Here is a 19048-nt window from a genome sequence, read left to right as displayed (position 1 = left end):
TCACCATGTTGGCCAGGCTAGTCTCAAACTCCTGATCTCAAGTGATTCGTCTGCCTCAGCCTCCCAAAGTGCTGGGATTACAGGCACAAGCCACAAGCACCCGGCCTGATTATGAGTATTATGATGATGTTTAAGTGCTGATTTATCTACTTGAAATGTGAGATATCATTTTTTAAATTTTTTTCTCCCTAGATACATGACTATTATTTTAACTCATTTCTCATTTGAATTACCATTTTCATTTGGTTCCAACTGTTCAATTGGTGCAACCAATTTTACATAAAAAGAGAACCATGAATTTTCAGAGCCCATGAGATATGGAAAAATGGCCATCAATGACTGTACAAGGACACACATTAGTTTCAGAACTAATTTCAGATAGAAGCTCATTTAGTTTCCAGCCCAAATTAAGTGACTTTTATGTGACATAGCAGTTAAAAATCAATTTATGAGCTTTCTGGAATACCACTTAGAGCAAATATGCAGACATCCTCTTATTTAAAACCTGGAACACTGACAAACTCCAGCAGATTGAGTCTCATAGGTATTGAAACTGTGGGAACATAAACAATGGCAGTAGATCTACTTTTCATTTTCTAGATTCTCAATGACTTAACCGTGAAAACAGTGCAGCTATGTGCATAATTGAAAGTATTGGTTAAAATAAAGCTTTGGGTTAACTGAGATTTCAGCAAACTGTTTTATTCCTCCTTCTTTAATTAAAAACCCACTTTAATTTTTATTAATTCATATCTGCCAAGTATTGTACAGAATTAGGAATATAATAAAAGAGGGCAAGTCGGTATATGGGGCTTGTTTGGGAATTTCAAATTGTTTAATCACAAAACATAATTTTTTTTGAGAAACTGGATTTCAACATTAGTTATCTCAAAGAATGATTTCATTCATTAAACAGAAATATAATCATTTTGAAAGAAAAAGTGTCTGGTTTCTTCATATCCTTTTTTAATTGTATGACTTTTACTTGACTGAAGGAAGGTAATATCATTAGGCATTCCAGTTCAAATAGCACACTCTCAAATTCTGTTTCATTAAGAATATTTCATAGAACATAATCCTAAAGGTATGCTTATATTTAAAAAATATGTAGTTAAATGTGTTTGAGAAGCTTGGAAATTTCAGTATACATTATCATCTGAGGCTCGGAGAAGTCCTTAAGCAATGAAAATAGTTGAAGTGGGTTAAGTTAGTTGATCCCCTAAAGCACTGGTGCTCAAACTTTAGTGAACACTAGATAAATAATCATCTGAAGATCTTGTTAAAACTGATAACTGAGACCCACGTACAGGCTTTCTGATTCACTATGTCAGGATGGAGCCCAAGAAATTGAATTTCTAATAGTTTTCCAGGTGATGCTTATGCTGCTGGTATAGGGAGATACTTTGAGTACCACTGTCTACAGACCACTCCTACACTGTCTCCTACACTCCTAGGAGGCCAATTGAAATAGACATAATGAGTGGTTAAGACAGGCTATCCTGGTGGAGTGCAGAGATGGTAGATCAGAAACAGAGGCTGCCGCTCCACTGTGTCATACAGTTGCTTTCTGGAGGATCAGATGTAATTACTTTCATCATACTGGAGGAGGGTCTGTTCTTCTCCACTCATAAATACTAAGTGGCACAACAGAGCTGGAGGCAAGGTTTCCATTATGTCATAGCCATAACTTCAAGGCTTGGGTCTCAGTGTCTAATATCCCAGGGAAGGGAAAAGTTTTCCAACCAATAAATTTTAAGTTGGAAAAGTAGGGTTAGAGGTCAAGTTTTTCTTACTTTGTACTTTTATCTGTTGACTGCCAGCTCCTGATTATATCCTGTGAAGTTATTATTATGTGTCAACTTACAGGGCCTGGGGATGCCCAGACATTTCATCAAAAATTATTCCGGGGGAACCTGTTTCCTATCTGTTCTTTTTCTCTGGAGAACCCTGATTAATACAGCTTTTGGTACCGAGAGCAGTTGTAGAGGGACAGAATCTTAAGGATGAAGTCTCTGAATAGGTTCTGGGGTTTCTGGAATTGGCTTTCTAAATATAATTAGATTATATTTAAATATGCAAATCACTCTATTTCCAATAGTGAAAAGAGCACTCATAGTTCATGATGTGGTCTGGAAATACAGACACGCAAAATATCATCATTGGATATTCATAATCAACTGCTTATAAAAAATCAAGTATCTGGTTGACTGTATATAATATTATTGAACATTTTTGTCAAATTAACAAATAAAGGATTGACTAGTTGCTCCATTATTGTAAATGGGGAATAAATCCTTTTTGTGGGGTCTTTAAGGATTATTTCAACACAAATGGAGAAATTATATTCAGAGAGTGATTATTATACACACAGGTCCTAGAGGCAGCAGGCACAGCATGCCATGCAGGAGGCCATATGGGAGGAAATCTCAAGGAGTGAGCTCAATCAAGTAGATGAGGGCCTGAAAGAGAGAGAAGTTGGGGAGGGAGATTGGACCCATGGGCAAATGCTTTTACTGGGGGACAGGGTGAAGTACACAAGCAAAAACCATGAGGAGATTTTATTGGTGTGTTTGAATGTCACTAGGTCAGTAAAGGAAAGCCAAGAAGGGAATCTTGTGGCAGAGACCAGACTTACCCACACCAATGTACCTGGTTGTGTGGGCAATGTGTTTACAGATTATTTGTGGGGATGCTGAAGCATCAGGAAAACATAAAGTTTAAAAAATTTATAATATACTCCTAATGTCACCAGACAAAGTGCAAAAAGAAAAGGATAAGCTTAGGGATTTGAATCCCCAGCTCAAGAGCCTTACAAATGATCTGTAAGCTTCTACATATGCCCTGAATGAGACACTTATTGCCAGTAGTTGCAGGGCCGAGATTGCTGAATACCAAACCCCGAATCCCCACATTGGTTCCTTGACCTGTGGAGTGAGAGCTATTATTGTGGAAAGGGCAAATCCAATCCACTGGAACTACCTGTACCTAGGAAAATAATAAATTGAAAGCAATACCACATTCCTCAAGTGACTGTAGAATTGTGTGTCACTATGATGGATTGAAAGATGCAGGTGTGGTGATTTTCACCCATCACAATTCAACTCACCTATTTGGCCTATGCTGAAGACAGACAGATTTTCAAGAATAACTCTGGATTATCATAAGCTTAGCCAAATGGTGACTCAAATTGCAGCAGCTGTGCCACATCTGGTCTCACTGCTTGAGCAAATTGACACAGCCTATGGTATCTTGGAAGTACAATTTTTCCATCTCTGTTTATAAGGGCCATTAAAAATAGTTTGCTTTAGGCTGTCAAGGCCAGAAATATACCTCACAGTCTTTCCTTAGAAAGACACAATGCTTGTGGGTCTTTGGATTTTGGAGACACCATATTCTCATTTGTGTACGTTATCCAATCTTGTACCAAGTGACCCTAGAATCTGCTGAGTTTGAGTGGGGCCCAGAACAAGTGAAGGTCCTGCAACAGATTTACGCTTTTGTGTAACCTGATCTACTATTTGGCCATGTGATCTAGTAGATCCAATGGTGATTCAGGTGTCAGTGCCAGATATGGATGCTGGGTAGAGAATTTGGCAGGCCACTGTAGACGAATTGCAGAGCAGAGCCCTAGGGTTTTAAAGCAAAGCCTTGCACTCTTCTGTGGATAGTTATTCTCCTTTTGAGAATCAGCTCATGGCCTGCCACAAGGCCTACATAGAGACTGCCCATTTAACTATTGGTCACCAAGTTGCAATGAGATTGAGTTGAACTACCTATCATGAACTGAATGTAACATGATATATCAAGCCATAAAGTTGGGCATGCCCAGAACTCCATCATCAAATGGAGTGGTATATGCAATATGACTGAGCCTCATCAAGCACTGAAGCCACTTATGAAGAAGTGACCCAAATCAAAAATTGTATCCCTTCACTATGAAATTAGAATAGCAAAGAGATTAGTCAGATGGGATGGTCCCCAGGGAAGTCACCGATCAACTGAACCAGCAATCCCAGGACCATTTGATAATTTAGATCATAAATTGATGCTATTATTTTTTCCAAAGGCAAATTTTCACCACACAATTTAAGTATTAAATGAATAACTTTGTTTACTATTGGCATAAAAAATATTACCTGTCTAGACAATTCTGTTGGTCATTCAAGAGGATGTGTTTCTCATAACCAATATATCCTATAGAATATGGATTAACTGAGCTGGTTGGACAATAGTTTGAATCCAAGAGAGGTAAGGTAGTTGTTTTTAAGGCTTTGGGTGTTATTCTTACTCTTCCTTTCCTGTTTATTATAGGAACAATCCTCCAATGTTGCTAAGAGTGATATTAACAGGTACGATCTCAGCTTCTATTTGTTGAAATAGTACAGGTTGCTTAGAGAGGAAGGTGTAGTGTGCAACCCTTCAGTCGGGAGGGTGAGCTGAGAGGTAAGTGTTAATTTGACTAATTCCTTGCAAGTAAGACTCCCAGAAAGAGTGTTGACTTTTGTATTAAAATTAATAGAACTATACACAAATAATTGTTCATTTTACTGTTGATAATTTAATGGAGGAACAGTTTTACTTCCTGTCTGATTTTTTTTTCTTTCCTCTTTCTCTTTCTTTCTCTCTCTCTCTCTTTCCTTTCTTCCTTCCTTCCCTTCCCCTTCCTTCCTTCTTTTCTTTCTTTCCCTCCCTCCCTACCTCCCTCCCTTCCTTCCTTCCTCTTTCTTTCTTCCGTTCTTCCTTTCTTTCCTTGCCTTATTAAAATGTCTAGAACCTTTAGCATAATGTTGAACAGAAGTGGTAAAAGTGGACGTTCTTGCCTTTCTCCTGATTTTAGAAGGAAACAATTGATCTTTCACCACCAAGCTTAATGCTAGCTTTGCATTTTTTGTAGAGGCCACACATTAGATTGAGGATGTTCTCTACTAGTCTTATTTTATTGGTGTTGAAATTTGCAAAACACTTTTATGTATCTATTAAAATTATTACAGGATTTTTCTTTTTCTGTTAATTTTGCAAATTATATTATCAGCTTTCAGATAGTAAATCAACCTTGCATTATTAAATAAATGTAACTTGAGTTTTTATACCCTTTACATATTGTTGGATTTTATATGCTAATATTGCATGTTAAGTATATATTTATTAAGTAATATTGAGTTTGTCTATATTAATGAAGGATAACTTTGAATTTTTAATGTCTTTTTATAGTTTTATTAAGGTAAACTTTATTTTCAGTAAAATTCACAGATCTTAAGATTATGATTAAATGAGCTTGATATGTGATACTTCCCATGTAACCTCTAGCTCTATGAAGACATAGAAAATTTCTATAACCCCATAACATTTTCTTATGCCCCTATACAATCACACTGTATTTTCTTTTTATTCTCTTCAACTTTTAAGTTCAGGAGTACATGTGCAGAACGTGTAGGCTTGTCACATAGGTAAATATATACCATGGTGGTTTGCTGCACAGATCATCCCATCCCCTAGGTATTAAGCCCAGTATCCATTAGCTATTCTTCCTGATGCTGTCTCTCCCCTGGCCCTCCCTGACATACCTCAATGTGTGTTGTCCCTCCCCAATGTGTCCATGTGTTACCATTCTGCCCCCACTTCCTAGTGAGAACATATGGTGTTTGGTTTTCTATTCCTGCATTAGTTTGCTAAGGATAATGGCTTCCAACTCCATCTGTGTCCCTGCAAAGGGCATGGCCTTGTTCCTCTTATGGCTTCATAGTATATTCCATGGTGTTTATGTACCACATTTTATTTATCCAGTCTATTATTGATGGGCGTTTGGATTGATTCCATGTCTTTGCTATTGTGAATAGTGCCGCACCAAACAAATGCATACACGTATCTTTATGATAAAATGATTTATATTTCTTTACGTATATACTCAGTAATGAGATTGCTAGGTCAAATGGTATTTCTGCCTCTAGGTCTTTGAAGAATCGTCACACTGTCTTCCACAATAGTTGAACTAATTTACACTCCCAGCAGCAGCGTAAAAGCATTCCTTTTACTCCTCACCCTCTCCAGCATCTATTAATTTTTGACTTTTTATTAATAGCCATTCTGACTGGTGTGAGATGTTATCTCATTGTGGTTTTGATTTACATTTCTCTGATGATCAATGATGTTGAGCTTTTTTTCATATGTTTGTTGGCTGCATGTATATTTTCTTTTGAGAATCGTCTGTTCATGTTCTTTGCCTGCCTATGTTTTAATTGGGTGGTTTGTCTTTTTCTTGTACATTTGTTAAGTTTCTTATAGATTCTGGATATTAGACCTTTGTCAGATGGATAGATTGCAAAATTTTCTCCCATTCTGTAGGTTGTCTGTTCACTCTGATTATAGTTTCTTTTGCTGTGAGGAAGCTCTTTAGTTTAATTAGATCTCATTTGTTAGTTTTTGCTTTTGTTGCAATTGCTTTTGGTGTTTTTATCATGAAATCCTTGCCAGTGCCTATGTCCTGAATGGTATTGCCTAGATTTTCTTCTAGAGTTATTATAATTTTGGGCTTTACATTTAAGTCTTTAGTTTATCTTGAGTTGATTTTTTGTACATGGTTTAAGGAAGGAATCCAGTTTCAATGTTCTGCATATGGCTAGCCAGTTCTCCCAGCAGCATTTATTAAATGGGGAATATTTTCCCCATTGCTTGTTTTTGTCAGGTTTGTCTAAGATCATATGGTTTTAGGTGTGCAGTCTTATTTTTGAGTTCTCTATTCTCTTCCATTGGTCTATGTGTCTGTTCTTGTACCAGTACTATGCTGTTTTGGTTAATGTAGCCTTGTAGTATAGTCAGGTAGCATGATGCCTCCAGCTTTGTTCTTATTGCTTAGGGTTTTCTTGGCTATTCTGGCTCATTTTGGTTCCACACGAACTTTAAAATAGTTTTTTCTAGTTCTGTGAAGAATGCCAATGGTAGTTTAATGACAGTAGCACTGAATCTATAAATTCCTTTGGGCAGTATGGCCATTTTCACAACATTGATTCCTCCTATTAATGAGCATGGAATGTTTTTCCATATGTTTGTAACATCTCTGATTTTTTTGAGTAGTGGTTTGTAGTTCCCCTTGAAGAGGTGCTTCACTTCCTTTGTTAGCTGTATTCCTAGGTATTTTATTCTTTTTGTAGCAATTGTGAACAAAAGTTCATTCATGATTTGGCTCTCTGCTTGCCTGTTGTTGGTGTACAGGAATGCTGGCAATTTTTGCACATTGATTTTGTATTCTGAGACTTCGCTAAAGTTGCATGAGCTTAAGAAGCTTTTGGGCAGAGACAATGGGGTTTTCTAAATACAGGATCATGTCATCTGCAAACAAAGACAATTTGACTTCCTCTCTTTCTATTTGAATGCCCTTTGTTTCTTTCTCTTGCCTGATTGCCCTGGCCAGAACTTCCAATACTATGTTGAATAGGAGTGGTGAAAGAGGGCATCCTTGTCTTGTGCCAGTTTTCAAGGGAAATGCATCCAGCTTTTGCCCATTCAGTATACTGGCTGTGGGTTTTTCATATATGACTCTTATTATTTTGAGGTATGTTCCTTCAATACCTAGTTTATTGAGAGTTTTTAACATGAAGGGATGTTGAATTTTATTGAAGGCCTTTTCTACATCTATTGAGATAATCATGTGGTTTTTGTTTTTAGTTCTATTTATATGATGAATCACATTTATTGATTTGGGTATGTTGAACCAACCCTGCATCCAGGGGATGAAGCCAACTTGATCGTGGTGGATAGGATTTGTGATAGTCTGCTGGATTCAGTTTGCCAGTATTTTATTAAGGATTTTTGCATCCATCTTTATCAGGAATATTGGCCTGAAGCTTTCTCTTTTTTGTTGTATCTCTACCAGGTTTTGGTATCAGGGTGATGCTGGCCTCATAAAATGAGTTAGGGAGGAGTCCCTCCTTTTCATTTTTTTGGAATATTTTCAGTAGAAATAGTACCAGCTGTTCTTTGTAGCTCTGGAAGACTTCATCTGTGAATCCATCTGGTCCTAAGCTTTTTTTGGTTGGTAGGCTATTTATTGCTGCCTCAATTTCAGAACTCCTTATTGGTCTATTCGGGGATTCAATTTCTTCCTGGTTCAGTCTTGGAAGGTTGTATGTGTCCAGAGTTTTATCCAGCTCTTTTAGATTTTCTAGTTTATTTGCATAGAAGTGTTTATGGTATTCTCTGATGGTTGTTTGCATTTCTGTGGTGTCAGTAATGATATCCCCCTTATCATTTCTGATTGTGTTTATTTGATTCTTCTCTCTTTTCTTCTTTATTGGTCTAGGTAGTGGTCTATCTGTTTTATTATTTTTTTTTCAAAAAAACAGCTCCTGGATTTGTTGACTATTGAAGGGTATTTGTCTCTGTCTTCTTCAGTTCAGCTCTGATCTTGGTTATTTCTTATCTTCTGCTAGCATTGGGGTTTGTTTGCTCTCGGTTCTCTAGCTCTTTTAGTCATGATGTCAGATTGTTAACTTGTCAATCTCTACTCTCTATATGCAAACACTAATTGTGTTATTAAGATTTGTTTTGCCTTTTGAAAATCTTTGTATAAGTGGAATTACATAGTATTCTTATGTGCTTGACTTCTCTAACCCAAAATAAGATTTTTTTCTGATTTATCCATATTGTTGCATACATAAGTACTTTATTTATTTTTATTGCTGAGTAATAGTTTTGTCAGTAAGCATGTATATCACAATGATTTTTAAATGTATTTACTGATGGAAATTTGTGTTACTTCCAGGGTGTCACTATTAAAAATAAAGGTGACATAAACATCTTGGTATAAATCTTCTGTGGATGAATTGATTCATTTATTTGAGTAAATACCCATAGTAAAATTTCTGAGTCATAGTGTATATTCAGCTTCATAAAGAAATATGAAATGAAAATAATGGAGATGAAGTCCATAGGATAAAATTTAAAATTGTAATAAAAGTTCCCTCATCACTTGACAGAGCTGTGCTGGAAAGGAGGGATTGGTAAAGTACGGTACATGAACTGAATCTGATACTCTACCTATTGTTTTGTGTCATTTGAACTAAGAATGTTTTTTTCTTTACCTATTAAAGTGTGAAATTTAAAAACACTATTTGCCTTTTGTCAAGAACACTTTCTTGATTTTGGCTTTCGGGTCCTAAGGCCTTAAATATTTACCAGTTGGTTTTTAGAGAAAAATTTGCTGACCCCTGGGTCTAGTTTTAATAGTAGATACAATTATGGACTTAAAGATTATTCTAAGAATAATAATACAGATTGGTCAAGAGAAAAAAATGATTTTGAACCAAAAATATTATGAATAAAATATTGATTCAGAGATGATACATGAAAAAAATTGTTTCCAAAGATTAAATTGAAAGACCTAATAGATTCAAATATTGCCAAAGACAAACTAGATTGCCTACTATGACCAAATATGCCAGAATTATTAATTACTATGGAAATTAAATGTTCTATAAAATGAAAAGTAAAAATAATAGGAAAAAGGAGAGTCAAATAGAAAAACCACACCAAATTAAAACTACTATATCCAGGGCAATACTGCAAGGGAAAAAAAGGAGGACAGAAACCAATGATGATGATGATAATGATGATGATGGTCATGAGGAGGGGGAGGACAAGGAGAATGATTCATTGGAATAAAAAGGAAGCACAGAAATAATCAAAATTTCAAAGTGCAAAACCACCAAGCCATAAGAATAGCATAGTCTTCAAGTTGTGGTCATGTCAGGGAACAATTTCAACTCTACTATATCTGTACGTAAACACACTCAGTATTTTAAAAGGACCTCAAGCAGTATATAGGATCAATAGACATAGAATCCTAAGTAATCATAATCCTAGATGAATTTAGTCTTTGGGAAAATTTTCATGAACATAGGAGAGAAGAGTTGGGAGAATCTATAGCAAAAAGCAGCAGCCAATGCCTTTACTAGATTGACCCAAGGTTATATTAACAGCCCAGTAATACTGCATAACTTATGTAGAGAAAATGCCAATAATTTTAATAAAGGGCCTGGTATAATACACTGTATATATGGTATCATGATCAAGGGAAAAATAATACTTGCAAAGCAGAGAATGGTCATTAGCACAAGGAAAAGTATAATAGACAGAAAACTTAATACATTTCTTAAGAATAATTTGATAATCCAAAGGGGCAAAAGTGGTATTATCTTTTAAGCAGAAAATTGTGAAAATAGTTCAAAAGATAAAAAGAAAGATGAAAATTTTACCATCTGCTTGTTGTTATATAAAGATCTACTCACTTGGAAATTCTTATATGGGATAACAAGAAAATCCTGAGATTTTAAATGGACAGAAAAAAATGAAAGAATATTATAGGAAGTCAAATAGTCAATACAATATTCTATTTCCTGGTCCCTACACCAAAGAATCTGATTTTAAGTTAGAAGAAATTACCCAAAATAAATATGGATGTGGGTTTTACAGCTGAGACTATTAGGAATTAGGATTAAATCATATCAGTCAATTGGGTTTGAGCCTGAAAGATGGCAGAATCAATAGTTTGGTTTTCTCTGTTAGAAAAAGTGGCATGGACCATTAATGATCACTAAATAGCCACTGAAATCTTAACTAGTTCTAACTTAGTTAACCTTAGAACTCAAGTGCTAATCATCCAATGGGCCAAACTGGTACCATAACAAATAAAAGATGTGGTACAGCAGAATATGTACAATGGAAAGGGTACATCTTATAATGGAACAAATCCAGCCTTTCAGGTGTCTCATCCTTACATCATGAGGTTGCTGCTATTGAGATGTGCTTACTGAATCTTGACTAAATTTGAGGGTGTTGCCCTGGTTGGGATCCACAAAGAATTAAGGCAAAGAGTAGTACATGGATGAAGAAGCTCTGTTTATAGCAGAAAGCACAAAATAAAAAGCTATTTACTAAATGTTATTCCAAAGATGGAATAACATTAATCCAGGAAAGGAGACAGACTGTAAAGCAGACATGGCCATAAAGTAAGTAATAGAAAAATCCTCGAGATTAAAACAAAACTCAGTTATATTTACATGGACTCCTGAGCTGTTATTAATGGAATTCCCATAAGGTATGCTCAATGAAAAGAACAAAATTACAAAACTAAGTGTGCTGAAGTGTGGGGTAAAGACATTTGCTAAGTATTGAAAAAAAATTCAATACAGCCATACATCACTTAATGACAGAGATAAATTTTGAGAAATATGTCATTAGGTGATTTTGTTGTGGGAACATCATAGAGTGTATTAACATAAACTACATGGTATAGCCTATTGCTCCTAAGCTACAAACTTGTACAGTATGTTACTGTACTGAATACTGTAGGCAGTTCCAATACAATGGTATTTATGTATCTATGCATATCTAAACATATAAAGGGTACAGTAAAAATACGGCATAAGAGATAAAAAATGGCATTAATGGAGCTTGCTGGACTGAAAGCTGCTGTGGTTGAGTCAGTGTGTGAGTGAGTAATGAGTGAATGTAAAGGCTTAGGACATTACTGTGTACACTTAGGCTACACTAAATTTATTTAAAAACAAAGTAATTGTATTAAGATGTTATCACAGCTATGATGTCAGTAGGTGATAGAAAATTTTCAACTCCATTATAATCTTATGGGACTACTGTCATGTATGTTTTCCATCACTGGCCAAAAAAACCCCACAATTTTGCAGCACGTGACTGTATATGTAGGTCATGTTTCAGCCCATGAAAGGGAAGTGTATCCAGGCGTGGTGGCAGGTGCCTGTAATCCCAGCTACTCAGGAGGCTGAGGCATGAGAATTGCTTGAACCCGGGGGGCAGAGGTTGCAGTGAGCCGAGATCATGCCACTGCACTCCAACTTGGTGACAGAGCGAGACTCCGTCTCAAAAGAAGGGAAAGGTAGAACAATCAAATACAATGAGATGATGAACCAGTTGACTAGGAAGCCTCAATTAAAGAAAGTAAAGGAATGTACACAGCAGTTGTTCATTGAGCCTATGAGAAATTTTGACATTTAGGAATCAATGTGTCAATCCAATAGGTTAAAAAAAAAAAAACAAGAAACTCTGATAGGGAATCAGACTGTGAGTATATGATAAATAATTATTGTTTCTGCAAAAAGTCCAAAACTCTAAAACACAAAATAGAAGCAGCTACTATCCATAGGGATTACAACTCAATACAAGTAATTCAGGTTGATTGCATTGTACCTATGTCTAAATTGTAGGAGAAATATGCCATCTTACTATTGTAGATATTTATCAAAAGTGAGGATGACTTACTTCTCTTATAGGATTAATGCCTATACCACAATAAATGGACAGTGTAACAAACAAAAAGTTTACCTTGTGGGAGCAATTTATTGAAAATCACCTATAGATAATTTGTGGAGATAGATAAGGGAAGCAATTTTAATACCAAAAATTTGAGTAATCAAAATAATATAGTTTTAAAAAATCCATCTTGTAAATAGTCTCAATGAAATAAGAATCAGTGAGAGATAGGACGGCCTCCTAAAATGCAGATTTAAACAAAGCTTCTGGCTAAAGAAAATACTAGATATTGCATGATAGGCTAATCAAATCAGGGAGATAAGTGACAGAATAAAAGCAAATTTACAACCTTTGAAACATACGGTCATTTTGCAACCAATCCTTATGATGGAACATGACAAAGATAATGGCATATCACTCCTATAATTACATTGTTATATAAGAGTTTGTCTTAGCTGTCTGAAGAGAGAGGCTTTCCTGCTGGCCTTGAAGAAGTAAAGTGCTATGATATGAAGTGTTTATGCAGGCAGTCACATGACAGATAAATGTGAATAGCTTCTGTGAGCTGAAAGCCTCAGTCATAGCACTGCAAAGAACTGAATTCTGCCAAGAACCTAAATGAGCTTGGAGGTGACCTAGGTAACATCTTGATTGCACTCTATGAGAAAGACCTGAAGCAGAGGACTCAGCTAAGCAATGGCTGGATTTCTGCCCACAAAAATGGTGATATAATAAATGTGTTGTTTTAAGCTGCTAAATTTGTGGTAATTTGTTATGCAGCAATAGAAAACTAAACAGCTATTTTCATAAACATATGGCTATCTCATTAATAAAAGAAAAGGATCTGTCAGCGTTTAAGATTTAAACACCCCTAAAACTATAAACATATTTATGTAATACCTAAATTATAAATAAGCAACATCTGCTGTACACATCCCTAGGAGTAGAAGATACTGAGAAAGATGGTACTTGTGTACGAGAATGTGAAGACACTGATAAGAATAATGCAAGTTTCATTAAATAAAATATTAGGCATGTTGAAAATATCCAGGTCTCCAAAGAGCATAAAAGCCAGAATGCAAATGTGACACCACCAACCAAGCAACAAGTTTCCAGTATGCCTTCCTGGGTATGTCAAGTGAGCTATGAGTCATCTTTACATTGGCCATAGGGCAATCCTAACCCCTTGCGCAGATTGAGCAAACAAATCTTCCCATAGCGGCAGGTAGACAGTTGGGATGAAAATTGATAGATGAGGTTGAGAGACTGAGATTGACCAAACCCTGAGACTTAAGTAGTGGGCTTTCCTGTTTTGTTAGGTCATATTGCCTTTTAAATTGCTTACTTGAATTATTATTTGATCAACTTACTGAGTGTAAATATTTATATGGTAGACAATAAATGGTTCAAAGTTTTCTTGGTTGGCTCTTTTGATTAACATATTCTAACCTATTCTTTGTAGTTATGCAAGTTATAAAGCACATTCTCAAGTATAATAGTTGGCATTTGACTCAAATACAGTATGTATACTTTCCTAAATTTATTTCTAAGTATTTTATGGGTTTGATGCTATTACAAATGGAATTTTTGAATTTGATTTTCTAATTATTTTATAATAATATGAGGAATAACATTAAATTTTGTATTTTGATCTTGTATCAAGTGGTCTTCCTAAATTTACTTTTTAGTTCTGGTAATGAACTTCTTAGGATTTTCCAAATAAACAATGATGGCATATGTGAATAAAGACAGTTTTATTTCTTCCTATAGAATTTTTATCAATTTTATTATTTTTGTTTTATTGCATTAACTAGAACCATAAGAACAATGTTGAACAAAAGCAACCAAAATGGGTAACTTTTGCTTGCTCCCAAGTTTACTAGAAAATAATTCGATATTTTACCATAAAATGTGATACAAGTTGCAGTGTTTTTTGTTTGTTTGTTTGTTTGTTTGTTTGTTTAATAGAGGCTTTGTATCAGAGTAAGGAAGCTCCTTTCTATTGTTGGTTTGTTGAGAGATTTTATCATAAATAAGTGCTGATACTTGTCACATGCTTTTCTTGTATTCCTTGAAAGCAATGTAGAGCTTTCTCTTTTTCCAGTAAGATGGTACATTACACTAATTGGTTTTCCAGTGTTATGTCACACTTGGTGTTGCTAAGAAAAAACCCATTGGTTTATAGTTATTACTCTCTTGATGTATTCCTGAATTCAAGTTTCTGATATTCTGTTTCTGAAGTGGTTTTTAATCCTGCTATTATTTTTTTCCTATGCTTTAATCTTATCAAATATTTTTTAAATTCTATGTTAATTTTTATACTGACTTTTGTGTTTTTTTGTTTTGTTTTGTTTTCGAGAAGGAGTCTCACTCTGTCACCCAGGCTGGAGTGCGGTGACACCATCTTGGCTCACTGCAACCTCCACCTCCCAGGTTCAAGCAATTCTCATGCCTCAACCTCCCTAGTAGCTGGGATTACAGGTGCCTGCCACCACGCCCAGCTAATTTTTGTATTTTTGGTAGAGACGGAGTTTCACCATGTTGGTTGGCCAGGCTGGTCTCGAACTCCTGACTTCAGGTGATACGCCCACCTTGGCCTCCCAAAGTGCTGGGATTACAGGTGTGAGCCACCGTGCCCAGACTATATGACCTCTTAAGTATACTTTCCAGTATTTTTTATAGCTTCTCAATATTGTTTTTAACTTACCGCAGTAAACTTAGATTTGATACTCTACCACAGGAAATGCTATTTTTGACATATAATTGAAATTTACATTTGTTATATACTTCACAACATGCTCTCTCTCTCTCTCTCTCTCTCTCTCTCTATATATATATATATATATATATATACATATTGCTTTCAATAATTGTATTTTTAAAAAATTAATGGGAAAAAGATATTTTGTTTTACATTTACCAATACATTATGTTTCATGCTCTGTTCATCCCTTCATGTGTATCATTTAGTTTTAATTCACTTCACCCAGGAGGACTTCCTTTAGCATTTCTTATAGATCAGTTTTCCTGGTGACAAATTTTCTAGATTTCATTTATTTGAAAATGTCTTTATTTCATCTTTATTTTTGAAGAATACATTTGCTGGTTATGGAATTCTGGGTTGATAGTTGTTTTAATTAATTTTTCTTTTGGATTATTATTTTTAATAACTCTTACTGTTTTTAATAAAGAGGCAGTATAACTCACTGTTTCCTATAGGAAAAATGTCATTTTTCTCTGGCTGTCTTCAAGATATTTACTTTATATTCAATTTTCAACAGTATGACAATGGTGTGCCTACTGTCAGTTTTCTCTGTATGTATGTGGCTTGTGATTTGCTGAGCCTCCTGTATCTGAAGGTTGTTTTACATTATTTTTGAATGCTCTCAGTAATTAAATCTTCAAGTTTTTCTTCTGCTGTATTATCTATTTCTCTTTTCTGGGACTACAAATCTGTAAATGTTAGACTACTTGGTATTTTTGCACAGATCAGTGAGGCTCCATTTATTTATATTCAATATTTTCTCTTTGCTGCTCACATTGAATAATTTTAATTAATCTCTTTCCAAATTCACTGTCCCTTTAATTGTCCATTTTCATTCTTAAGTCCATCTACTAATTTTTTGTTTAGGATATTGTTTATTTTAGTTTTTTTCATAGTTTTCACTTTTTGCTGAGGTTTTCCCTATGATCATTCATTATGGTCATCTTTTTCTTTATATTCTTAAACATATTTGTAACAGTTGCTTTCAAATACTTGCCAGTTTTACACCTGGGTCATCAATGTGTCTGTTTCTATACGTTCTTTTTTTTTAATTACAGATAATGCGATCCTGTTTGTTTGCAAGTATGGTAATTTTTATTGAATGTTGGACTGTTGGTTTTGGGGAAAAAAAAGACTGGCTAATTACCTTGAACATATAGCAGTTTGGTCTTACCTATCTTAAAGATGGGTCTGCTGCAATTTTTCCCTCAGTCTCAGTCTACAGATTTTTTTTTTTTTTTTTTTTTTAGGTGTAATCTCGCCTTTGTTGCCCGGGCTGGAGTGCAATGGCATGATCTTGGCTCACTGCAACCTCCTGCCTCCCACGTTTAAGCAATTCTCCTGCCTCAGCCTCCCAAGTAGCTGGGATTACAGGCATGCACCACCACACCCAGCTAATTTTGTATTTTTAGTAAAGAAAGGGTTTCTCCATGTTGGTCAGACTGGTCTTGAACTCCTGACCTCAGGTGATCCACCCACCTCAGCCTCCCAAAGTGCTGGGATTACAGGCATGAGCCACCATGCCCAGCAGTCTACAGATATTTTTTGTAGTTCTGTTTATAGTATTAGTATGAAGGTGACCCTTCTGTGATTTCAATGGAAAGCTCAAGTTATATGAACAAGACTCAGATCTTAAATTCTATCTTCTCTGCAGCGGACAAGAGCTAGTTATTTGCCCTGTTTTTACAAATATTCAGCTATTGTTTTACATTAGACTTCTTGGAGTTTTCCTTGTGCTTTCAAAAGTCAGCCAAAGATTTGAAGGGAATTTATATGCAGATTTGGGAACATATTTCCTGTGGTTCCTCCTTTCTCAGAATTTTTCCTTTCAATTTACAGTTGGTCTGGTAGCACCAAACTCCCTTCTTTGACACTTAAAGCTAATAAAGCAGATTTCTGCTGGAATTATACCTGTCCTGGCTGATATGAATTGGGAAGTAGCTTCAGGAAGAATGCCAAATAAATGTGAATCTGACCCAGTGCCATTTAATTCTGGGCACAGAGATTGAATCCACTATCATTTCTGCCGGCTCTTTGTCATTTTTAAATGACTTCAAATTGGTTGATAGATTATTTTGTTATAATAATTATTTGCAGCAGAGTGAGTCTTATATAAGCTACTCTGTCTTACCCATAATCTAAACTCATTTTCCTTGTGACAATTACAGGCATTTCTCTATTGCCTTTTAGAATTGAAAGTTTCTTTGAAGTCACCAACTTCAGGTTGATTTTTATCCCCCTCCTAGTTAACTTAATGTTTTTGTTTTGACTTTAAAAGGATTTTTCTCTTTGTAGCCAAGGAAACTGATGAGGTTATCTCTTAACATATATTGCCACATATTAATTTATTTATTCTGCAAATATTTGTCACCTACTGTGTGCCAGCGATAAATCTTTAGAAATACAGCAATGAGCAAAACAAAAAAATTATATTACTATAGAAGATCTATTTGGTAGTAAAGGGAGTTAAAATTTTTTTTATATAAATTTCTTTAGAAAAAATAAAGAGAAGTGTTATGGAGAAAAATAAAGTTAAGGATACTGTGGAATTATACTATCTGCATATTTCTGTTACTTTTTTACTGCTGCTATAAGTACATCATAATACTTTATAAATACATTGTAATTGATAATAATTCACAATAGTATAGTTTCTTTTTGTCATAAAATGTTCTAATTTACCAATAACATTAAATATATCTGATATTCATTTTTGTAATTTTTTTCTATGAGAGTATTTTTTTTTTATTTTGGAGCAATGTAGTTGCCTTCCATAAAAATTTTATGGAAACTTTTAGAGAAATTTGATATTTTATATTCTTCAATCCATACATGAATATTCATCGATATTTCTTGAATAAAATACCCATGCTTCAATCTCACTTTTACTGTGAAAAAGAGAAATATTCCTTTTTAGGATAACAAATATGATTGCTTGGTTCCATGCTTATAATAAAGCAAAGTAGAGTAAGTGGAATTTCTGACTAAGTAGGAAAAAACTACACCCACAGTTAGTTACCAGGGCTGATGCATGCACATAAATGGTCACATATCTGTGCTGTAAGTGCAAAGAGTAACATAAAGACATTTTATTTGGCTTTGGGATGGATGGTATATTTGCACATGTGTGCACATGAAATATATTAACACATTTTCTAACAACTCAGCTTTCTTTTTATTTGATGTTAAAAGTTATTATTGATATATACATGAAATTTAAAAGGACCAAAATTAATTGTACATAACAACAACTAAAAGTATCTTAATCTTAGTAATAATGTATTAATTACTGTAGTTTTCATTTTTTTAGTTTAAAGTTAGCCTTTTTCTCCATCTTCTTCATGTTGTCTCTGCTCAACATTTCTTTATTTTAAAATTACTTTTGAAATAGAGAGGAGTTTCTATGAAATCGAATATTGTACTTTGTACCTGTCAGTAGGCTACTGATTGTTCCCTGCCTTATCATTCCCTTGCATTATATGTGCTTCATTTCTTTTGCTTTCTTCTTCTCTGGACTAGAAAAAGTCAAAGATCTGCCAACATTTCACTCACTCTCAGACTGTGTCCACATTATAGTGGAAACAACTCAGTCGAGTCAGCCAAACAGCTGGTCAGTTCATTCACACCATGAGTTCAAAAGATGTCTGTTCTAATTCTATTGATTGGTTACATAAGATGAAGCTGTCAATTTTAGAACTTTGACTAGACATGAACTCGGTCTGACCCAATATGATTTCGACCCAGTTCGAAGCATTGGCTTGTTACCTGAGGGGTTCCAGTTGCAGCCTCTTGCTCATTGCCCTGTTTCAGTACTTTCTGGTTTATCTCTACTACAATGTCCTGGAACTGAGAAGGAAGTTTTGATCCTATTCTTTCTTATTTGCGTTGGATTCTAAAGAGTGATGGGTAAGGATAGGAATATAGGCTCTTCTGAACTATATAATCAAAATTTTATAAGATAGTAAGGAGGAAGAGAACCTAGTGTTCCCCTTATCCACTTTG

This window comes from Homo sapiens, chromosome 7 (genome assembly GCF_000001405.40).
Source record: "Homo sapiens chromosome 7, GRCh38.p14 Primary Assembly".
Taxonomy (NCBI): Eukaryota; Metazoa; Chordata; class Mammalia; order Primates; family Hominidae; genus Homo; species Homo sapiens.
The sequence above is the reverse complement of the archived record's forward strand: the minus strand, read 5'-3'. Positions refer to the sequence as shown.